Raw genomic sequence first — 24,426 nt, 5'->3', positions numbered from 1 at the left:
AAGGTGTACCTTCTTGATGCTCCCTCTCTCTTCCCCTTTCTACCTGTTGAGTGATGCCAAAGCAACCTGAAAGCCACAATATGGCAAAGCAAAATAAATAAATAAATAAATAAATAAATAAAGGAGGAAGATGAGACTTGACTCACAGCTTGGAGTAGAGCCACCTAATCCACATCAATCTGCGGGGTAAGCAAGAAATAAACAACATGTTAAGCCACTAATATTGGGGGGTCATAGCAACTAGTCTTAATTAATGAGACTAATTGTGAGAACTAAAGTAAATGCTCTATATAAGGCACCTATGAATGTGCTACACACATGGAAGTCACTTCTTCCTCAGTGCTGGAGGAGATGGTGGAATATTTTGTTTGTCTAATGACAGCCCTCTGGACAAAGAAGTAAACTCGTGCACAATACAGCCAGAGTCCAAAAATTAATGGGATCATGGTGGAATGGAGTAAATACCTACAAACATTTAAGTCCTATCAATTCTGAGACTAAGATTCTGTTTCTCAACCACTGCCTTTTTTGCTCATATGCATCCATTCATAGTAATAGCTAAAATTTACTATAGTCAGGTCATTCTAAGATATCTTTTTTTCATATTTTAACAACCAAAGTTGGGATGTATGCTTCAGTCAATGGCATCTTGGCATTGTGTCATCGTTCAATTGGAACCATATTTTCTTTTTCATGAAGTAACAGGGATCTTACAATATATAGCATCTTAAATCCAATGAAATATGGTATTAGGCACTTAACTATGTGCCAAGAACCCTTCTAAGTGTCTTACACATATTCCTCCAAACGTCCAAAGTAATCAGTACTACTATTATCCCCATTTTAAAAAGTGGAAATGGTGACCCAGAGAGCTTCAATAATTTTCTAAGGTACACAGCTAACATGCTGGATGAGGATGAAGACTTACCTTCTCTTTTAGAGAGGCATATCAAGCCACTATTTTTAGCACCTGCTTTTTAATTGACAATTAATCCTTCTCCTTATAAAGTAAACTCATACAAGATTGTTATCTCCAACAATATGGTAGCCCAGATACTTTAAATACTTCTCCATAAGAACAATTTTAAAGGATGAATAATGATGCTTTTAATGTTTTTTAAATATATTACTGAGCTGGCAAAAGTGTAAGAAATCTGGAGAGGCCAAAAGTAAAGCAAAAGAAGAACCAGGAAACCTAAGCAAGAGTTCAAGGGAGTTTTTTGTTGTTGTGTTGTTTTGTTTTTCCTGAGAACATCTGTTGAATGTTGTATTCTCTGGACTTCTGTTTCCTATGTGTACAGGGCAAGGAGACATGTGATAAAGCCTAGGAACTTTCCAAGGGGAGGAATCAAACAGGGATCCAGAAAACCAGAAACTCAGTTTAAGAGTAAATGGAAAATAAACCGTCTATGTCAACATTGTCAACAATGAGAGTTGAGAATTAATGACCACAATATGGGCCTCAGATAGGCTTGTGGCCTGAATTTACATTATCTGTTGTGGGGACAGGGGACTTGATTAGAGAATTTAAAGAAATAAAAGAGAGTCATGGAAACATTTTCGAAGAACAAAGGCTATAAAATATGGCCAAGAAAATTTGAGAAAGAACCAAATAGAACTTTTCTACATTAAAATACAATAATTAAAATGAAAAACTCATTGGGCAGATTAATCACAGCTAAAAAATGGATGGGTATACTAAAAGACAGAACAAAAGAACTTAACCAAGACGCAGTCCAGAGAGACAAAGAGAGAAAAAATACGAGAGAACTAAAGCTAAGAAATATAGAGTGATGGGATCTAACAAGTATTTCATCATATTTGCAAAGAAAGTTAAGAGAGAGAATGGGGGAAATGGTGATATTCAAAGAATCAGTGGCTGAAATTTCAGTTCCCTGGATTTTTTGAAAGACAAAACAATATTCAAATTCAGAAATCCCAATGAATCCCCAGCAAGATAAATACAAAACATATACATACACACCCTAGACAACTCATAACATTAATGAGCACCAAAGACAAAAGATTTTGAAAGCAATCAAAGGAAAAAGGAAACTAGATTGACAGATGACCACTTAATAACAATGATGAAACTCAGCAGACAACAGGAAAATATATTATGCCAGAAAATAATTGTCCCAAAATTCCATATCCATAGAAATTATCTTTCAAGAATAAGTATGAAATATAAGCATTCTCAGACAACCAAAAATCCCACACTAAAGGAAATTCTGAAGGATTTGCTTCAGGCAGAAAGAATGTAATATCATATGGAAGGTTTGAGATACAAGAAAGAGTGATGAGCAAACTTGCTTGAAACTGTGGGTAAATCCAAAGAAACTTTAACTAAGAAACAATTACAGGGCCGGGCACGTTGACTCATGCCTGTAATTCCAGTACTTAGGAAAGCTGAGGCAGGAGGATCACTTAAGCCCAAGAGTTCAAGATCAGCCTGGGCAACATAGTGCAGGCTCCATCTCTACAAAAATTTAAAAAGTTAGCTGAGTGCAGTGACTCCTAACTGTGTTTTCAGCTACTCAGGAGGCTGAGGTGGGAGGATCATTTGAGCCCAGGAGGTTGAGGCTGCAGTGAGCTGTGATTGCCCCACTGTACCCCAGCTTGGGCAACAGAGCAAGACCCTGCCTCCAAATAAAGAAAAAAGAAACAATTATAATCCCTCATTTTTGAGATAAGAAACGATGAATCTAAAATATTGTATAGAATTTAGAAGAATATGACTAAAGCTATTTAAAGTGCTCCAAGGTTCTATTTTGGGGGAAGAAAAATAGAGATATAAATTAAATTTAGGCTTTTTAGATTATTATTAATGCTATAATATCCAAAGTAATTAACTAAAAGAACAGACATGGAGAAAGAGAAAATTCCCTCCAACTATGTAGAGGAGGAAAAAATAAATGAGTAATAAATTTTAAAAATTAATCCAAACAAAGAAAGAAAGTATGTAAAAGGGAATATCAATGTGTAATAGTAATCACATTAAGGGGAAATGAGCTAAACTATCCAGTTATAAGCAGAGATTATTAAGGGTGCATTACATGGAGGGGGTTGGAAGTTGTGCATGCTATGTGCTAGCTACAAGACATATCCCTAAAACAAAAAGACCTAAAATAGCTTAAAGTTAAAGGCCACAAAAGATATACCATAAAAATACTTACCTAAAGAAATCTGATGCTAATGTATTTATATAATACAAAACAAACTTTAAGGCAATGAAGAGATTCACTATATAAAAATTAAAAGTTCAGCCCATTAAGAAAATATAATAATGATGATATACCTAATAGCATAGTCTTAAGATATGCAAAGTAAAATTGATAAAACTTCAAGGAGAAATGAACTAGTCCTGAATCACATACACTTCAACACAATTCTGTCACTGAGTGATAGATCAAGCAGGAAAATGATCAGTAAGGATATAGGATATTTGAATGGCACATTTAAGTTAGAATTAATATTCATGAATAGAACACCCAGAATACACATTATTTTCAAGCACTCATGAATCATTCTTTTTTTTTTAATCAACTACTTTCTAGTCCTTAAAGCAAGCCTCAACAAATTTCAGAAGATTGACACTGGGGTTGCAATCTCTACCCCAACATAAATACCCCATACAGTTGTATATTTTTAAACATACAAGCAATAGGTCAAAGAAGAAATTACAGCAGAAATTAGAAAATAAACCTGAATGATGATGAAAATAGACATATTAAAAATCATGTAGTATATAGATAAAATAGAACTGAGAACAAAAATTATAGACTTAAATACTTAAATTAGAAAAAAATCTGAAAATTCAAAGAATCTCCAACTTCTCCAACATAATAATCTCCAACTTAAGAAACTTAGAAAAAGAGGAAAATAATTCTAAAGAAAGTATCAGAGGGAAAATAATTAAGATAGGAACAAACATTAAATAAAACACAAATCAAAATACAAAACAAAACAAACAAAATGACTAAAGTTGGTTTTTGAAAACATAAAATAAACTGCTGGCAAGATCTGGAAAAAATCAGAAAAAAGAGGAAACAAATAAATGATATTGGCAATAAAAGAGGTTTATTTCTACAGATGCAGCAGAGATAAGAGAATATTATGCAATGTCATTGAAAACATAAATAAGTTAGATAAATTCCTAGAAAATAAAATTTACCAAAATTGATTCAAGAAAAAATAGATCTATAACCACTGAAAGAATTCATCAATAGTTGAAAATCTTCCCGTAAGGAAAACACCAAACCCAGAGAAGCATGAGTTTATATCATTCAAAGGAAAAATAACCAAACTCTACCACAGAATAGGAAAAGAGAAAACACACTTCAAGTGATTGTATAAGGCTGAAATAACTTTGATACTAAAATTGAACAAGAACAACACAAGAAAAGAAATATACAGGCCAATCTCATATAGAAACATAGATGAAAATATACTAAACAAAATACTAGCAAGCAAAATCCACTATATGTGAAAAGGATTGTATATCATGGCTAAGTTGGATCTAGCCTAAAAATACATGGTTATTTTAACATTAGAAAACAGATCAGTGAAACTCACTACATAAAGAAGGAAAAAACCTTACGGCCATCTCAACAGATGAAGAATAATAATTTGATAAAATTCAACAGCTATTCATAAAATATTTTAGCAAACTAGAAATAGAAGAGACATCTCTTAAACTGATTATAGGTCATCTACCAAGAAAAATATATACCACAAGAAATATACTTGATGACATGTTGAATGAAAGCATTTCCTGTGAGATCAGAAACAAAATAAAGATGCCCAGTTCTCAACAATTTCTTCTCATTATAGTGCTAGAGATCTTAGCTAGTACAGAAAGAAAGAAAATGTATTAGAATGGGAAGAAAGAAAACTGTCATTATTTGCAGCTGACGTGGTTTTCCACAGGCAGCCACATCTGCCTGTGCATAACAGCACACAGCCAGAAGAGCAAGGAGTCTGAATCTGGCCTCTGCTGTGTTCATCCAGCCACCCCAACACAGGGCTGGTTCCACCAGGCACAGACCTGCAGTCCACTTGGCAAGCCAGGTGTCCATGGGTCTGTGTCCCTGCAGACACGGTACCTTTCCCTAATTCTTATGAAAACATATGAAGTAGCAATTCATCCTCATTCTCTATGTAGAAAATCCAAGGGTATCTACAAAAAAATTATTTTAATTGATATAAGGTTTTAGAAAGTTGGTCAGAAATGAATATTCAAAAGTCAAGTATAGTTCTAGATACCAGCATAAACAGAGTAAAATTTAGAAGAGAGGTCATTAACAAAGCAACAAAAATATGTGAGGGCCATAGAAATGAACCTTAGCATGTGCAAGTCCCTTCTTGAGAAAACTGTAAAACATTATTAAATGATATTAAAGAAGGCCAAGATAAGTTAATAGATAATTCATGCATATGAAATACCATATATATGATAGGGAAATGTTAATTCGCCATAAACGGATCTAAATATTCAGTCCAATTCCAATCAATTCCCTATAGGATTTTTTTCTAGAACTTGACAAGTTGAATCTGAAATGTGTAGCCAAAATATTTCTGAAAAAAATTGGAGAGACTTTTCCTGCCAGATAATAAGACTTTTTAAAAACTAATAAATACAGTGGGATATTGACCCTGGAATAAACATAGAGAACAGAACAGCAAGCCCCTAAATAGACCCAAGAAAATATGGAAACTTGATTAATGAGAAAGGAGGGGAAGATGGGGGGCAACCTATTCAGAGCTCTCACACACAGATCCCAAATTACAAATAGAAAGTGAATGGGGTTGGGGAGGCAGAAAATGTCCAGTCGTTCTTGACTGGTATGTGAGGGGAGAGCTCCTTCTTGCTCACATACTTCTACCCTTGAGGTTCCCTCTTGCCCCAAGCAAAGATCTGGCTGGATTGGCCCAGAGAGAAATAAACTAAGAGGGTTACTTTAAAAGCCCCTTTCTGCAGCCAGAAAGAGCCAGCCTAGCTCCAGGACCAAGCAGATAAAAAAGCTTCTTAAAATGAAGAAGGGAAGGTTAACTAAGAGGCACTGGCCAGATACCCACCACCCTGCTAACACAGCAGACAGCAGGGCTGGACTGTCGGTAAAAGCTGCCACAGAGGGCTTGCTGCAGCCCTAATCTTTGCATAGCTGGGCGCAGGGGCCAGCCTACCCCCTCACCTCTGGGTCCAGGTGGGTGAGGGCTACCCCAGACTAAGAACATTTCAACCTTACATGGTACAGGTATGTGGTGGCAGGTTCTCTCATCCTGATAATTCTGTCACCTGGTGAATCCCACAAGCCCTATCCCATGCAGTCCTTATGATGCCCCTTCCCAAGTCCAAAAAGTGATACAACCAAACACAGACTAGCAGAGAAGAAACCTTCAGCCTAGCCCCAGCTCTGCCAGTAACTAACTGCATAAGCTTAGTCAAGTTACTTAACTTCTCTTGGCCTCTTTTCTCATTTGCAAACTGGGGATAATAATATACATTTGATTACCTGGCACATTTGTTGTAAAAACTAAAATATAATAATGGATATGACATTATGACACCACTTTGTATCCCCATATGATTCCATGAAAATAGGAGGGATTTTGTTAGGCAATATGGTCTGTGGAAAAAAATAAATAAATAAATCTCTTAAAAGACCAAAGGAGTGAAAGATATAATTCAGGCAAAGTGAAAAATCAGCCATTTGGCGGGATAGAAATCCAGAAGACAGGGTCCTAACCAAAATTCCTATTGGCATAATGTAAGCAAGAGATCTGGAATGTTATACAAAAAAGGTTCTCAGAAATGTTTTTTTTTTCAACTCTGTACTTTGCACAAAAGGAAATTGAGGCCCAGAGAGGATAAATGACTTGTCCAAGTCACACAGCAAATTTGTGGTAGAACCCAGATTAGAACTCAAGTTCTTTCTTTCACTTTTTTTTTTTTGAGATGGAGTCTCGCCCTGTCACCCAGGCTGGAGTGCAACGGCACGATCTCGGCTCACTGCAAGCTCTGCCTCTCTGGTTCAAGCAATTCTCCTGCCTCAGCCTCCCCAGTAGCTGGGATTACAGGCGCACACCTCCACGCCCAGTTAATTTTTGCATTTCTAGTAGAGACAGGGTTTTGCTATGTTGTGAACTCAAGTTCTCTCTAGTCTCCCTCTAGAATTTCACCCATCCAAGTTCCATCCACCTTGCTTGATCCATGACTGCTACCCCGAAGGGCATAATGACCCCACAACTGAAGAAAACACCACTGCCTCCCCAGGATATTCTCTGAGGAACATGGAACGCAATGAGGGAGTATTTATTTTCCTGTGCCTACAAGTAAGCTTGCTCACAAGTATAACTCACTACTCTCCATGTGGAAGCCCTCTGCCAAGTATACAGCACAAGACAAACAGGACAGGATGCTGACCAAGAGCTTAAGAACCAATTACTCATCCAGCATTGACGCGAACCCTGGTGCCTAGGTTGGCAGGATCTACGGCCCAAATCCCTCTGACTTTTCAAGAAATCTCCAGCTTCAGCCCTCCCCACTAGGATCCTAAATGCAAAGATGGAGGTGCATCAAAAGACACTTCGGTTTGAAATCTTGTTGATGTTAAGCCATAGACTTTTGCAGACTGCACGGAGAGGCTGTTCTTAAAGAAGTGGCTTTAAGCTTCTTAGGACAGCAAGAAAACAAATATGTGAGTTTGGTGAAGTCCCTGCAGGAGCAGCCTCAGGCCAGACCAAGCACTGGCCTTAAGCCCTAAATATGTATCCTAGGTGCCTATCTGAGGCTGTTAATCTCCCTGTGGGCTGTTCTCTCTCCAGCTGGGCAGGGGCTTTTTCCTCTTGCAGTGGCCTCAGGCACAAGATATCCCCTTGCCACACCAAAACCTCCCTCTCCTCTCTCTCAGCAGGCCCCCTCATGGCAACAGCCATGATCAGGACCACCAGTGAGATGTCACCAAGGACATAGCTGAGATAGAAACTGGTCACAGGCCAAGCCTCACGAATACATAAGGGGTCCAGAGTCAGGCTCTATCCCCATCCACAGGCAGCTCTTTCTGATTCCACATCTGGCCAGCTCTGAGACAAGCCTAACACCCTGCTTTTGTCTGGGTCAAGATGGGAGACAGTTGGTCCTGGCGGTCAGGTAGAGCATCTGTTCTGTATCAAGCCTCAGCTAGATGAGAGAGGAGATGAACAGAACAATTTTCTTCTTCTTAAAATTTTATTCCCATTGAAAGAGATATGTAAATGAATAATTAAATAAAACATAGAAATTCCTCCAGCATGAGTTCAATGAGATGCTTGACCTTTCTCTGAAACAAGTGTTCTATAGTGCCTTAGACAATATATGCCCCTACTGTGGGCCTCCAGTTTCCCATCTATAAGAATAGAGGGCTGAATTAGATGAGCTCCTGCTCTGAATCTAATGTTCCTACAATCCAGTGACCCCAGAAGCTTCTAAAAGAGTCATTCATGGCCAGAGCCCAGACCTGAATATTTTTCTCCAGCTTGCTCTTCCCAGAACCCAGTCTTCTCTGTGTTCTTTGCTCAAAGGTGGCTTCGAGTTATAGGGTTTGTCCCAGGAACTGCCACTACCATATCCTGCTGTTTGTGTTAGCCATAAAGCCCCACACCATTGCATCTAGGAGCTGCCCCAGAAGTACTCCTAGCCTCAGCATTCCTGCTGGCCTAAAGGCCAAGCAGGTTCACACAAGGCCATTGTCTTCTTGCTCTCTGAGTCCCCAGCCTATTATTCCTCCATCTGATTTTCGTTTCAGCCTCTTAAAACACAGCTCTCATTGTAAAATCTCCTTGAAAACCTGTGTCTCCCCAAACTCTCTCAACTCAGATGTGAACTCCTTAGCCTGGTGCTTGTACTTCTCCAGACCCTGTTTCCAGCCCATGCCACCTCTTTTTAGCATTACAACCCAATATTCCCCAACAGGTCCCTTATGTTCAAGCTTCAGAGCAACTTTCCCGTTATTCTTCAGAACTGACTTGCCCTCCCCACCTGTCAAGACTCAGCTTAAATGTGGCTTCCACCCAGAAGCTTACTCTGACCTCCAGCCCATAGGGCTCCTAAAACACTGAAGTGTTGACACCATTCATCCTGAGCCCGAGAGACTTGCTTCGTTTTGTAGCTGACTGGTGATCTCCTATGGGTACATCTTTTCTCCCTGAGAGGGCCAAAGTCCCACAAGAATATGCCCATATTAGCCAGCATCTGGCACAACGCTCTCCAAGTAGCAGGTAAAGACTTATTGAAAGCAATAAGGATAGCTGGATAGATCATGGAAGTGGGTCGAACAGAGGAATGGATACAAAGTGCTAAGGGGCCTCATATGTAGGCAGGGTTACAGAGACATCTGTAGAATAGAAAATGAAATGAAAGATAAATGAATGAATAAGTGGACCTTGGTCCTAGCCACCATCATCTCTCACCTAAATCACTATAATAGGCTCCTAATTCATTTCTCCTCCCAGTAACAATCTACTATTTTCATAGCAGCTATAGCATGTCATTTCTCTCTTCGAAATTTTTCAATGTTCACTATACCACTCATATTAAAAGCCAACGTTCTTCAAATAACCCACAAGAGCCTTCATGAGCTGGCACCCATTATTGCATTGATCTCAACTCCTTCAACTCTCCCCATCCCTCACTTAACTCCAATCACATGGACCGGCAGGCTCTTTCTCAAGCATGCCTCAGGGACTTTGCACTTACTCTTCCTTTATTTGGCTTCTCTTCCAACAAGTATTCACATAGCTTCCTCCTGGCCTCTGCTTAAATGCCTGCTTATCAGAGAAAACCTCCTGACCCTGTATAAATATATAAACCACCTCCCACCCCTGGAGCTCCCTTATTATTCTCCGTATTTCTCCATGGTATTCACACTTTTTATGGTGTATAGTACCCTGTTTACAGTCCATCTTCCCAAACCAAATCCTCTAAGGGCATGAAATATGTGCTTTGCTCACCGTCACATCTCCAGGGCTGAGACTTAAACATGGCACCTACTAGGTAGGTGCTAAGTAGATAAATGAATGAATTCGTGAGGGAGGGAATGAGCAAATGAGTCTGTAACTTAGACCCTTGCAACCTTCAGGCATTTTTCCAAGATGCTGTTATCTAATGTGGCTGTCATTGTCCTATGCCTGCTCAATTCCAGCCCTGTCAGCCGCCAAAGCAGATGGACAGCACACATTCTAGGGAGCTCTTTGTAAATGACAAGCCTAAGAGAACTGAAAGAACAGCTTCTATGGGGATGGGGCCAGGATTAGTCTACTGCCTGGTTTCTAAATGCCACATTTTAAAATCCTACTCTCCCACCCTCCCCCAGCCTCTCTGCAAATTCCACAGGGCCAAAGTGCAATCATAGTCTAAAATGAAGAAGAAAACAAAAGCATCACCTTTTCCACCATAGGGCTCATGGGGAGCTGTGTTCCTATTTCCCCTTAAGGCCAGAGCCCCCTAACACCTCTGCAAAGCCCAGTCTATCTTATATCTACCTGAATAAGGAGCCTAATCTCTAATTTCTCATCACCAATGAAAGAGGGGAAGCCAGAAAAGCAGATAGTGAGCCAAGAGGAGTAATCAGTGTGGCCACTTCTGGTCTCCCATTCTTCCTGCTGACACCCTGCAATCATACCCAGCCCAGCCCTAGACCAGCACAGTGACATCTCCCCAACCCCTGACAGTCTCCTCACCTGGGATTCTGAGCTGTGAGGACCATAGAAAAGAGGGATACAGGAGTGGGGCTGAAGATAATGCATTAGCCTTGAGTCCTGCTATAAATCCAACATAAACTCTTGTTCACGGATGGATAGCTGGGTGACAGATGGGTGTGTGGGTGAATGAACAAGAGGAGATAGAAAGTTGAATGAGTGAGTGAGGAATGTAAGAGTAAGTGAGTCAGAGGGATGGAATGGGCTGTTCTGTCCTAGTGCTGATGACATCTTTGAAAGGATGGCTCACTGGACTTAGTAAGACCCACTTTCTGTATTCTCCTTTAAGCATATGTCTAGTGCAGTGTTAGAGGTAGGAAGGAGGTTGACAGCTCCTGACAAATGTGAATCATTTGTTCCAAGGAGTCTTCCATAGAATTGTAAAGATATTTTATACAAGTCCCCAAGGAGCCAAGTCAGGACCACCTGGGAACCCCTTCTATCTCCTGTATGGTCTACAAACCAGAGATAAGGATAGATAGAGAAGCCACAGCTCAGGGATGCCACTTGTGACTTAGCCATCTCCTCCAGGGACCTTCTTAGAATCATCCGGGAATTAGATGTACCTGTCACCAGCCTCCCAAAAGCTCCTTAGTGACATCTTAATTTGTACAGAAGATGGTAAGGTCTCTGAGGGACAGACATGGTTGGCAGGCACCCCAAATGCCAGGTGTCCCAAAATGAATGATCATTTTCCTCCTCAAATCTACTTCTCTTCTCATTTTTATTCCACTGAATGGTTCCATCATCTATCTGGTTACTCAGATGATAAATCTTCATTCATTCATTTGTTCAACATATATTTGTGGCATGTGTCAGTAACATGGTACCATGATACCTGCTAGGATAAAGTAACGAGCAAAACCAGACATGGTTCCAACACTCACAGAGCTCATCATCATATAGAGAAAGTAAGCATTAATGATTACATAAATAAATGTAAAATTGAAACTATGATAAAGGCTTGAAGGAGGCACATGTTTTAAAACTTTATAAAATGGGGTTGGACCTGGTCCTGAAGATTATGAAAGTGACAACTCAGCTGAGAACTGAGAGTAAAGCAGGAATTCGGTAGGTGGAGTCAGGAAGAACGAGCATTCTAAGCAGAGGAACAGCAAATACAAAGATTTATGGTGGGAGGGAGCCTAACAAGCCCTAGAGACTGAGACTCAGCTGAGGCCAGTGTGGCAGGGAGAGCCAGGGAGGGAGTGCTGGGTAGGGAGATGTAGGAGAGGGCAGCAGGGCCAGGCAAGCAAGACCTTGTAGGACTTATTAAGGAGTGTGGTCTTTATCTTAAGATCAATAGGAGGCAACTAATGTACTTTTAAGGAAGAAAATGATATGAACAGAGTTGTGTTTTGAAATGCGCTCTGGCTGCTGTGTGGAGAACAAATTGGAGGGGAGCCAGTGTGGATATAAGGGTACCAGGGGGCTCTTGTGGTACCCCAGAAATGTGAAGATGGTACCATGAACTAGGATGATGCTGGTGGAGATGGAAAGAAGTGAAAGATTTGAGAGATATTTACAAGCTAATATCAACAAGATATGGGGACGGATTGGATATGGGTTTTGAGGGAGAGAGGTGTTGAGGATGACTGCCAGGTCTGTCTGCCTTGTGCAGCTACCCAGACGAAGGAGTCATTCAACGAAATCTAAAATACCTGAAGAGGACCAGGTTTCAGTAGGATGAAGAACTACAGAAATTCTGTTTTGGACACATTGAGTTTGAGAGGCCTTTGAGGCATCAAACTGGGAGTCACTTAGACTCCTTCATCTCCCTCACTTTCTGCATTCACCGGTCACTGTGTCCTATTGATTCTACCTCCTCTTCATTCGAACTTAGTTCAGGCCCTGGTAATTACTGTATGAATAATTAAAACAATCTCCAGGCTCTTTCTTCTTCCAATCCATTCACCCACCTCATGCTGTCTGTCTAAATATTGCCTCCTGAAAGAGGCCATTTCTAACCACCCAATCTAAAGTATTCCTACCCCATTACTCTCTATCACAGTCTTTGGGGTTTTTTCTTCTAAAAACATGTAACAATGTATTGTATTGGTTGATTGGAGAAATAAATATACATATATGTCCTAACTCTGTTTGCTAAGAGAGCATATAAACGATGACACACCAATCACAAGGAGCACAGGTAGCCTTTAAATCTTGGTTTCTAAATACCATTTTCGACTAAAAGGATCCAGGGCTCTTCAGACAAATGGCTAATTCCAGGGCTGTAGCAAAGTAAGGAAACTAAGCCTGTAACTTCTTGCTATAGTAAATAGTAAGGAAGAGCACAGAGAATCATGGAGATGCATCAAAAACAAAGAAAGCCAGCTTGCAGAGCCTCCCACTAATCAAGTTTGGGACAATGTGAACATTGAGATAAAATAAAGATAATAATTGACTATAACCCATTGAATAAATGAAGAATTCATGAGACCCTAGTGATAGGAAGGGAGGGAGTGGGGAAAAGATTTTTTTAAAGTAGAATGCCAACTACTAAATACGGAAGAAATAATTGATTCAAAATGATCAACGATGATAAAATCAGTGGGTATAAGTTTGATAAGGAACAGGTTATACACAGTCTCAAAGTATCTCACTACAAATTACTTATTAATTCCAGAGAGAAAAAATAATAATTTTGCAGTGGAGAAACTGGCAGACATTATTCTTAAGCAAGTGATAAAAGCTCCCATCACCAGCACTGGGACAATCCCCACATCATGTGCTTGCTGATATGAAAACTGGAGAGGACATAACCTCACTGCAGTTGTATTCCTGCCCCTAATGCATTGCTTGAATCTAATCATGTAGAACCATCCACAATAACCAAATTGAGAGATATTCCACATAATAACTGACCTGTGCTATTCAAAAACACAAAGTTCAAAAAATAAATAAATAAAGCAGAACTGCTCTGGATTTGAGGAGACTAAAGAGAGATGACAATTAAATGCAATCTATGGATTGGATCCTAACTGAGGTGAGGGAGATTGGGGAGCCATAAAGACATTATTAGGACCGAATTGCACTGTGGTAAGAGATTATCCTTTTTAAGGAAATATATACTTAACGATATAGGGGCTAAAGAGGCATCATGTCTCCAATTTCTCCTCAATTAATCAGAAACATAAACATTTTCAATGTATTCATATATATAATAAAACAATAAATATATTATAAAAATATACAGTGAAATATGTTATATAAACAATAAAAATATATGCAAATAATAAAAATAATATTTTTGCATGATTGGAGAGAATGAAAGTTAATAAAGTAAATGGAAGATCATGTAAACAGTTGAAACATGAATAAAGAGAGATTTCTTATATAAGTCTTATACATTTTTATTATATTTGATATGTCAAAATTTAGAGTGACATAAAAATAGGAAGCACTCAATAAATGTTTGTTGAATGAATAAGTGAGCCCATATTCAATCATGTCCCTCCCTTCTTAAAATACCTCAGTGCTTGTCCATAAATATGACAAAAAGTCTAAACATCTCAGGACAGCAATCCAGACCAGACTCCATACAAAGCTCCTTGTAACATCTTCCATCTCATCCCCAACACTACTGACCACCCACACCATAGGCTCCAGTTATGCTAACTGCTTAAAATTCCCCAAACTTACCACGTTAGGCAACACTTGTGTGCCCTCACACGTGCTGGTCTCTCTACCTACAATGTCCTCCTCTTCCTGGCAACTTCCTGTTATCTTTCAAGATCCACACCAAGTACTTACACTTTCGGGAAGGCCTTTCTGACTGCCCCAGTTGGAGACAACACTTCCTTGCTGCTACATTAGTGCCTCTAGTACCTGATTTGATCATGCCCCACAGACAGGCCTTTATTTGTTTACAAGTCTGCCTTGCCATAAGGTCTGATTGCTACTTGAAGCCCGGGATATTCCTACTTACCTCTACCCCCAGCGCCTTGCACAGACCCTGGCACAGCAAATGATCTCAATTAATACTGAGGCATGAATAAATGAATCAGTTTTGGTTGTACTTTCTGGATCTTCCAAGAGAACCCTTAACTTTAGTCTCTTTCATCATCCTCAGAAAATGCAGAGAAGTGAGAGAAATGAGTTCTCTCATTTTATGCACCAGGAAAGGGAGGCTCAGAGAAGGTAAGTGACTTAACCCAAGATAACACAGTGTGCCCAAGGATGAGTCAGAGCTGGAATCCAGATCTTGTGCCAATTAGGCCGGTGTTCTTTCACAGAAAGTGGGTGGCATAAGAAAGAAGGATATTGCATTTTATGGTTTGCCTATTCTATGCCAGACACTGAATTTCAAATAAACTTTCCAGTTCAAGCACCACATTGCCTTATGAGGAACCCCATTTTACAGATGAGGAAACTGAGGCTCCAAGTCAGATCTGTCTGGCTGCAAAGCCCGTGCACTCTTTTCCGCACATTGCCAGTATGTACCGCCCACCTCTGACCCTCCATCAAAAGAAGTGAGATGGCCTGAGCCAATTGTTCTGTCCCTCAACAGTGTCTTTAAATCCAGCACCACACACAGGCCCACAACGTAGCTTACACCCTCCAACCACAGGCCACATTTCACATGGTTTCCAAACCCAGAATATTTGGTTTGTAAGACAAAACCTTCATTTCTCCAGCAGAAAGTGAACAGTATACACAACTACCCAGCCAAACTGCTGACGCCTACAGACACTGCATCACACCAAACAGAGTCTGATCTGCCCCAAGACATCCTCAAAGCATCCAAGACTCCCCCAGAGCTTGGCACTGAGGGGACCCTGGAGCTGGGGGAGGGGAGATCAGACCGGCCAGATCGCAGAGTCTGGGCAGAGGCTTGGTTCCCAGGACAGAGGTTGCTCCATGGAGAAGTGAAGGCACAGAAGTTCAACACTGCCCACTGCATGTTGGTGGGGGGTTGAAAGACAGAGGGAGAGATCCCCACACAACCCAGGAGGCCTTTCCCACCCCTTCAATCCCTGCTTCTCACACAGCAACAGTCTCCAGCTGAGGCTGGAAAGGCCAATGATGCTGATCACGTTGAGGTCCTGGAGACAGACAGAGAAGTCAAGCCCCTTAGCCTCATTCCCCAATTTGCCCAAAGGAGTAGTTTTTTCTGCTTTGAAAGCCTTTGAAATGAGGGAGTTGCCGGCATCTCTCGTGGTCAGTGGACATTCACTACACACTCTGGAGTTAGACAGATCTGGAAAGGAATCTTTGCTAGCTCTGACCTTGGGCTAGTTGTTTAGCCTTGCTGTGTTTCTGTTTCCTTATATTTAAAATAGTCTTCACTATTTCATAGAGTTGGTATAGAGGTTTCATGAAACAAAAGATGGAAAGAGCCTAAAAAGGAAGCTGGACAGTAGTCAATAATAAATAAAAGTGAGTTACTGTGAGTTACCTTTCCTGCACAGAAGTCCTAACTATCTCACACAATGCTCTTACTGGCTTTTAAGCCTGTTTTCACTTGGTTGAGCTTAAAGCCCAGGGGACAACCAGAGTCTAAATAGTGTGAAAATTCAGCAGAGATGTGGTCCAGTCTTAGTCTTACCTTTTTAAGATAACACTTTTCTGGGAAGGAAAAAACACCTCACCCATACCAAGCCACCAGCACATTACTCAGTACCAGGCCACAGGGGATTTCCTCTTTCCTACCTTGTGATCAAATGCTTCTGGGAGGATATATCTTGAAGGCAGGCAATGGCCACCAGCTTGGGTTGACATAAGATATAATGAGAAGCAGGACCTCAATGCAATGCCTGAAAGCCCACCATTCAAGTTATTCTAATCATTCTTTGTTGCTAAGCTTTACCCTCCAGCTTTCTCCTTTCCAAACATGAGTGGTCTTGGGCAGCATAAAATAATTTGACTTGGAGTGAATTAGAAGTTTCACCAACTTTGCAATGTGGCTAGAACCCTGCCCTGCATTCAGATGAGGTGCACCTCTGCAGATAAGAGGTGACAAATGATTCCCTGACCACTTAGCCTCACAGACCCAGGCAAGGAGGCAGTAAAGCCCTTCATGTGCTCCTCCACACTCCTAAGTCCAAGCTCCCCATCCCAAGCTCCAGTTCCACAAGGGCCATCCCTGATCAGAGATGTTGTGTTCCATACTGGGGGAGGGCTCAGATCCAAGAGACACAGAGAGCCCTGAGTTGGGCAGGGTCACATGAGGAAGGGGTGGCTGCGGGGCCAGGGCCAGGCTTAGGGCAAGGGTCAAACTCCTTCGGGCACCCAGACACTTGAGCTTTTGAGACAGGGAAGAGCTGGCAGCTGAAACACTCGGAGCAGGGGGTGTTTATCAATGGCCCAATTCATTCTCAACTATCCCCCTTGTCTGAGCCAGCACAGAGATGGGCATTATGTCCCAGAGCTACTAGGAAAAAAACCTCCAAGACATCGTCACCAATTAGAGTTCAAAGGTACAGAAGCCAAATTGAGACATATGAGTTGAAAACCAGATGACATATTTGAAATTGAGGATGTCCCAGGAAAATCCAGTGTGATTCCCATCCCCAGAGACCAATAGAATGCTTAATTGCTGGTTTTTCATTTATTTGTTCTGATTTCCTTCAACAAAGGATGTGGAAGTTTACAGTTAAAAATATGTATTCTATAAAGTTGATAAAGCAGAAATTAGAAGTCAAAGCAATGGTTCCAACTAACATAGTTATTACAACAGAGCCATATGATGGACTAAGAGCTTCCCAGCAAGCAGAGTGACAAGGGAAGCACAATGGGAAAATAATTCCTTCCCCTGCCACCTTTATTCTGCTGGACTGACCATAGCCTGCCCTTTTTTAACCATTCCCAAGGGTCAGGTGTAGGATCAGGCCAAAGAGAAGCTAGATCCCAGCATTCCCCTCAAAAAATGGTTGAACCCAACTTGCTCTCCTGCATATTAGAGGAGTTGGTGGGTGAGAGCTTAGTCACCCCTTAGACTAAACCATAAACACTAAGAAAGAAGAAACTCAGGCCAGGCATGGTGGCTCACACCTGTTATCCCAGCAGTATCGGAGGCCTAGGCAGGCAGATCACCTGAGGTCAGGAGTTCAAGACCAGCCTGACCAACATGGAAAAACCCCATCTCTACTAAAAATACAAAAATTAGCTGGGCATGGTGGTGGGGGTCTATAATCCCAGCTACTCAGGGGCTGAGGCAGGAGAATCGCTTGAATCCGGGGGGCAGAGGTTGCAATGAGCTGAGATCATGCCACTGCACTCCAGCCTGGGCGATAGAGCAAGACTCCATCAAAGAAGGAAGGAAAGAAGGAAGGAAGGAAGGAAGGAAGGAGGGAGGGAGGGAGGGAGGGAGGGAGGGAGGGAGGGAGGGAGGGGGAGAGAGAGAGAGAGAGAGAGAGAGAGAGAAAGAAAGAAAGAAAGAAAGAAAGAAAGAAAGAAAGAAAGAAAAGAAAGAAAAGAAAAGAAAGGAAGGAAGAAAAAAAGAAAGAATGGAAGGAAGGAAGGAAGGAAAAGAGAGAAAGAGAAGGAAGGAAGAAAGGAAGGGAAGGAAGGAAGCTCAATACCATCTTTCTAACTTCCCAGCTGAAAGAGCACATTTAGTCTGGGTACCTCACTGAAGTATTCAGAAGAGAATAGCCAGGATGGGACAGGTCTAGAAGCTCTACTAAGAAGAATAACACCACCACTCAGCTGGTATTTTAGGGCACCTACTCTTCCAAGCGCTGTATAGTGTGTGCCCAGTGGTCACCAGGGGGAGGAGGTCATGGAGAAGATTCTGTCCAGAAAAAAAGATAACCACTGGAAGAAAGGAAAGGAGCAGAGCAAATGCCATCCCTCCACCAGCCTGTGGGAGGGAGACTCAAAGTAGGGTTGAACGAAACCAAAGAAGAGAAAGAATCAACCCAGCTCAATTCACTGTCCTCCCTGCCAAATGGTTGCCTTGGGACCCAACCCAGAAAGGTCACTGCTTCTCTGCAGCAAGTGTAATCCAGAGTATAAACTACAGCATGGAGCAAATTATATATGCTGAGCTCCATGTCAGATCCCAGCCTGACCTGGCTTGCCTTCCAAAGGCAGTGTTTGGAAGTTTTCACTTCTAAAAGGGCGAACAGTGCTTCTAAGTCCCAGAGCTAAAGGGACAAGATGCTCTCTGGCTGAGCTCCATGGACAGCCTCAGTTTCAGATTCAATGGAACCCCTCAAAGGCACCACATCACCATCTGCCCTGACCCCCACAGCCAAAGTCCCTGACTTAAAATATTCCCCACTGAGGCCAGTTTCTTGGACCCATTGTCAGAGGTATAATATATAGATTAAAAGGGGCAAAAGTGGGAGGAGGCTAGCGGCTGAGGGTGGGGCCACACCAGGGATACATTTGCGCATATGCATTGAACAAAGTGGGTGCATGTTGCATACATGTCGTTGTCCACAGGTATACATGTTGAAAGTGTGAATGGTTGCATGGCTATCCTGAGAAGAGTGTGTGCAAGACTGGTGCACATGGACAGGAATGTGTGTATGCTGAGCATGTAAGCGTGGGTGCACTGCGAGTGTTTGTGGGTGGCCATGGCCATATGGTCCACTCATCCCCTGGCCTCCTGTCTCTTCTCCTGGTTTAAGAGTGGGGTCTCCCAAGCTGTCTCCCTGACCCTGGTCTAGCCAGATGGGGTTAGTCAGAGCCACATTCACTCCAGTGTTGTGTGAGGGCTCTGAGCTTCTGTCCTTCTCCAAGCCCTGAGAAACCAAAGCTGAATGACCCACAGAGAAGACACCCCAGCTGGGACAAGTCAGGTCACCTTAGAAAGCCTGAGTTCAGATAACACTCCCTAGCCCCAATTTCTGCCTTCCTGGGTTCACACTGGCACATCCACTCATCCACATGTGGACTGGCTCAGCCCACCTGGGGGCCTTCCTGCCACACACACAGGCATTTCCACAGGTACAGACACAGTGCACCCAGGGCAGCAGGTGCCACACAGGCAAATACCTGTGGCCCACTCCAGGCCACCACACACTCTGACACACTCGTTCACCCACACTCGCACCCTGGGGCACATGCTAGAAAATTCCACATGTGGACATCCCATCCAGACACACTCCCTCACACTGGCGCAAGCTCCCCTTCACAAGCACTCCCACTGACACACTTACACCTACTATCCAATTAGTGACAAACCTGCACTGTTCCCAACTAGGCTAGCAGAGGCATCACCAGCCCCCTGAATCCAGCTAGGGGAGCTGTCTACTTACTTAGCGTGCGAGACAGGCTGGTAGTGCGAGCGGCCAGTGGTGGCGGGGCGCAGCTGGAGCTCCAGAGGCCGCGCGCAAAGTGGCCGCTCTGCCGGCCCAGCCCGAGAGGCCGCCCCTGGCCCCCGCCCCACCCCCCGCCCCGTTCTCCCCCGCCCGCCCTCTCCGAGGCGGTCGCAGCCTCCCAAGGACCTTCCACAGCAGCGCGCTCCCTGCCAAGCCTTGGTCCCGCGTCAGCCACGGCTGCCTGCTGTCTCCGCGGGACTACGAGGCTATTTCGGTGCCCCTGGGGGGGGAAACATGGCCCTCCCTCCCATCTGCAGGAGCGCTGGAATGGGGACGCGGTCAGGCCTAATTAGAGACCGGGCTCCCCCGGGCCAGGCGGCAGGCACCAGGGTGATCGCCCGGGAGCCGCGAAGCCGTCCAGGCGGGGTCGCCCACAAGGTGCCCCGCATGCCAACATCTGGAGAGGGGAAGGGAATGTGCCGCGATCGTTTCCCTTGGAGCTGAAACAAAACAAGGAGGGATTTGGGTGCAGTTCACTTGCTAGGAAGGAGGAAGCCACCCAGCTTTGATAGACCCCAAACGCCTAGAATGAGACGGTTTATTCACCGCAGGTGCTTCCCTCTGGAACCTTGCTCACACACACCTAAGTCACCCTCCACATCTTGGACCTGCCAAAAATGACGAGGGGTTGTTGCAGAAACTCCTTCTAACTTCGGCACATAAGATCAGACCCCACCCCCCACCCCCCACCCCCGTCCTGGACTCTGTCAAATAGCTAAATCTAGAGGAACTTGATTCCTACCCAAAAGCTCGGGAATGTGGCATTTTTGACCTGGAAGAAAGCTTCCAGATCATTTCATACAACTCCCCCTCCCCCGCCTCCGCCATCTTGCTATGAGGCTCCCAGAGCCCAGAGAATCTTGACCTATTCTTGGAGGTCCTCAAGCAAAGGCAGCCCCTGGTCTCCCTTGAGCCCTGTTCCAAAGCTTGAACTCTCTTACTGACAGAAAGATCTCCTTGACATCTAACCTAAATCTCTCACATGCAAACTATGTCAATTTGCTCACAATATGTATTCAGGGAGAAGGAGCTCAACTCAGTCCCCATGACAAAACGACCACGCCGAGGTCCCACTGCAGCCTTCTCTTCCTTAATGCTAATAATCTCTATTTCTTTTTTCAGGCTCTGGCTGAAGCTAACTGCTGCTCCCTGGACTCGAACACACACAGTAGCTCTCTGATATTAACTCTCCTCCTCAGCTCTCTGGGGGCCCAGGGCTCAGAAGGTGGCCAAATCATTCCTCTCAGACAAGCCAGCTTCAACTCTACCCTCCAGTCATCCAGAACAGCCTGATTCTACTCCCCAAGTTCCCTGAGAGGGGCCTCAGTTCCTGTTTCAACAAGTGCTGTCTAGGGCTGGGGACAGGGCTTGGTGCCGCCTGGCTGGGCATTACCACTGAAACCACAGTCTTACAGACTGTTTGCAGAATCTTCTCTCTGAGTCTGTTTCCGGTAGGGCAGGTGGTATGATAAGAATAGTCTCAGCCGGGAGTGGTGGCTCACGCCTGTAATCCCAGCTCTTTGGGAGGCCAAGGTGGATAGATCACAAAGTCCGGAGATTAAGTCCATCCTGGCCGACATGGTGAAACCCCATCTCTACTAATAATACAAAAATTAACTGGGCGAGTTGTCATGTGCCTGTTACCCCAGCTACTCAGGAGGCTGAGGCAAGAGAATAGCTTGAACCAATGAGTCGGAGGTTGCAGTGAGCCAGTGAGCCAAGATTGTGCCACTGCACATCAGCCTGGCAACAGAGTGAGATTGCATCAAAAAAGAAAGAGAGAGAGAGAGAGACAGAAAGAAAGAAAGAAAGAAAGAAAGAGAGAGAGAGAAAAGAAAGAAAGAGGAAGGAAGGAAGAAAGGAAGGGAGGGAAGAGAGGGAAGGAAAGGAAGGGAAGGAAAGAAGTCTCCAATTCTTCCTCAAAGAAACCTGTTTTGCATCCTGCCTCTACTACTTTCTAGTGATGAGTCCTTGGACAAATCACTTAACCTCTCTGAGCATCAGTTTTCCCATATGTACATTGGGGAACATAAAAATCTCTGCCCAGCTCATGAGGTTGTTGAAAGTATGAAGTGAGGTCAAGGATGTAAAGCACCTGGAAAACTAAGATATTTTATTATATGCTAGAAATAGAATGAGGCTTAGATCATAAACAGATCGATGTTAGCAAAAAAGCCTCAAAGTTCTTTTATTTCCAGGCCCAAACTCTGTGTCTGGGTTTCAGGGTAAGAGAGGAACAGACTTGGTTTGTTAGATGTTCCCTGGAGGCACTTGGCATAAATGCCCCCCCCCCACTTCCCAATACACACACACACACACACACACACACACACACACACACACACACACTCACATCCACCTTCCCAGATACATACGGCACAGCACAGCCTCCTGGACTCCTGGACTCCCCATAGACCCCAGCCACCTGGACCTTCGCTGGCCGCCTCTCCATTGCCAGGGGGCCGTCTCATGGCTCCAGCCTTGGCTGCAGCGACTCCAAGTCTCCTTACAGAGGCCCCTGTGAACAGCTTCTTTCCCTTTGCCCACCCTTCTGGGCCATGGCCCTGAGAAGGCCTGTGACTCAAGGCAAAGCTTGTCCAAGGCAGTTCAGTACTGAGGCTGCCCAAGGGAGCTCAGAGTTGAAGCTTCCTCCCCCTCGACCCCCTCCCCTCTGTCTGCCTGACTTCTCAATGCTGTGCTGTCCTGCTTAATTCTTAATGGAAATTCCATCCCCGGCGCCGGCCCTAGCTGGCTCAGGGAGTCCAGGCTTGGGCCAACAGCAAACTCCACCAGAGAGACTGGGCCTGTCTGGCTATATAAACACACCTAAACACATATATACATGTGTGTATACACACACCAGCAGCAAGACATGCTCAGAGACATTTACAAACTCAGATATTCTCATCCAGACACATCCAGACACAAAGATAATATACATTCTAATCATTAACATTTATTGCATATACGAGAACTTCATAGGTATCAATTGCTCTAATCCTTAGAACAGTACTAGGTTCTGGTATTATCCCTATTTTACACATGAAGAAACTGAGGCCCAGGGAGGGCCTCAGTAAGTAACTTACCCAAGACATTGATAATAACAGCCTAACACATGAGCACCAGGAACTGTGCTAAGAAGCTTATGTGCATGTTTCATTTTGCTGCCATAGTAACCTTTTATAAAAGTTATTATTATCCCCATAATACAGACACAGAAAAGGGAGGCCAGGTGGTTTAAATCACCTGTCTGTGGCCTCACAGCTGGTGAGATGGAGACTCTACACAAATACACATGGGAATCCTTATGGATGCACAGAAAGACACACAGGTAAAGACACATGCACATGCTCAGAGGTGTACCCACAAATAGCTTATTTCACCTAAACCAAAGTAGGCGCCTCAGGACTGGTCCAGAGCTGTATCAGGCAAAGGTCCCCTCCAGCCTGACTCCACATTCTTCTCCTGTCCAGATGGCCTATCCCAGATCCACCAGCTTCACACATCACTTTAGGAAGGACAAGTTCAGACCTAAATGGAGGAAAGACTTCAGGTTTACACTGCAGTCTGCCAGGTTCATAGTCAACCCCCAGCCTCAGCTCCAAATTGTTCCCCCAGTATTCCCTAGATAGTCACTGAAAGAAGCCTCAGCTACACTCTTCTGAAGGGATCGCACTTCCAAGGAGGGAGCACCTCCGAGGCTCTGAGCACTGACCAGCCTCCAATGCTAGGATCCTGTCCTTCAGGCCCAGATGAATATAAACAGGGCCCTTGGGACAAGGCCTGGCACAGGAGCCCAAGCATTGGGTAGAGCAGAGCACGTGTTGCCCGAGGGAGTTGAAGTTATACTGTAGGAAGATGGCAAAACCCTGGTGGAACGAGAGGAGACAGGGATTGGGGCCAGGCCACTCCACCCTCTCCTGCATTTGTTCCACCACATACTTCTTGTGGCTTATTGGCCACGTAGGGGAGGGCAGAAAAGTCCTTTTCCTTTTGGGACAGGCAATGAAGTCCTGAGTCCAGAGAGTTGAGAGGACAGACATGCAGGAGAGATCCAAAGAGTTCAGTCCGCCAGGAGCTTATCCACTGCTTGAAGTTGCCATGCTATGCTAGGTATCTCCAAGGGGCAGGATGTGTGCTGGCCTCAGGCCTCCTTCTAAGCAGCCACAATAGAAAGTGCCTAAGAAGGCCTGTTATAGCCAGGGTAGTCTCTATTGTCTCTTGTGATTTCCCCTATCCCCAACCCAGAATTCCCCAACTGTTTCTGTTGTCACAAGCTCATCCACCCTGTAGTCAGAGAACATAGCCCAGCATGGCAGTCCCATGGGGCACCAGCATTGGAAGAGTTTTTTGAGGGAGGAGTGCTTAATCTCCACAAATGAATAAGGAATCATGGTGATTCAGGCAATAGCTCTAA

General features: G+C 43.6%; 1 protein-coding gene across 7 annotated transcripts in view, besides 2 other annotated features; it reads right to left on the bottom strand.

The window, feature by feature from the left end:
• The window catches only part of INSC (INSC spindle orientation adaptor protein), a 158,261-nt gene extending 134,727 nt beyond the window's left edge, over nucleotides 1-23,534 (bottom strand). For 4 of the 7 annotated variants that reach the window (XM_017017698.2, XM_011520086.2, NM_001042536.3 and 1 more), the window contains exon 1: nucleotides 19,947-20,027. Coding sequence is in view for 1 of the 7 variants with exons in the window: in NM_001031853.5 (NP_001027024.3) it covers nucleotides 22,385-22,480 (96 nt within the window). In the remaining 6 variants the exon portion in view is untranslated. Of the gene's footprint in view, nucleotides 1-146; nucleotides 180-19,946; nucleotides 20,028-22,384; nucleotides 22,527-23,392 lie in introns of those variants that run through there. The other 3 variants (XM_017017697.2, XM_006718227.3, NM_001031853.5) reach the window with 3 other exon arrangements.
• Nucleotides 20,320-20,853: an enhancer, noted in NCBI's record as "H3K4me1 hESC enhancer chr11:15135643-15136176 (GRCh37/hg19 assembly coordinates)". NCBI's record gives its function as "activates a minimal SCP1, AML or CMV promoter by ChIP-STARR-seq in primed H9 embryonic stem cells {active_cell/tissue: H9 hESC(primed)}" and the evidence as "EXISTENCE:reporter gene assay evidence [ECO:0000049][PMID:30033119]".
• Nucleotides 21,505-21,554: an enhancer, noted in NCBI's record as "active region_4478". NCBI's record gives its function as "activates an Ori minimal core promoter by ATAC-STARR-seq in GM12878 lymphoblastoid cells {active_cell/tissue: GM12878}" and the evidence as "EXISTENCE:reporter gene assay evidence [ECO:0000049][PMID:35858748]".
• Nucleotides 23,535-24,426: the final 892 nt, after the last annotated feature.

Source organism: Homo sapiens, chromosome 11, assembly GCF_000001405.40.
Source record: "Homo sapiens chromosome 11, GRCh38.p14 Primary Assembly".
Classification (NCBI taxonomy): Eukaryota; Metazoa; Chordata; class Mammalia; order Primates; family Hominidae; genus Homo; species Homo sapiens.
The sequence above is the reverse complement of the archived record's forward strand: the minus strand, read 5'-3'. Positions and strand labels throughout refer to the sequence as shown.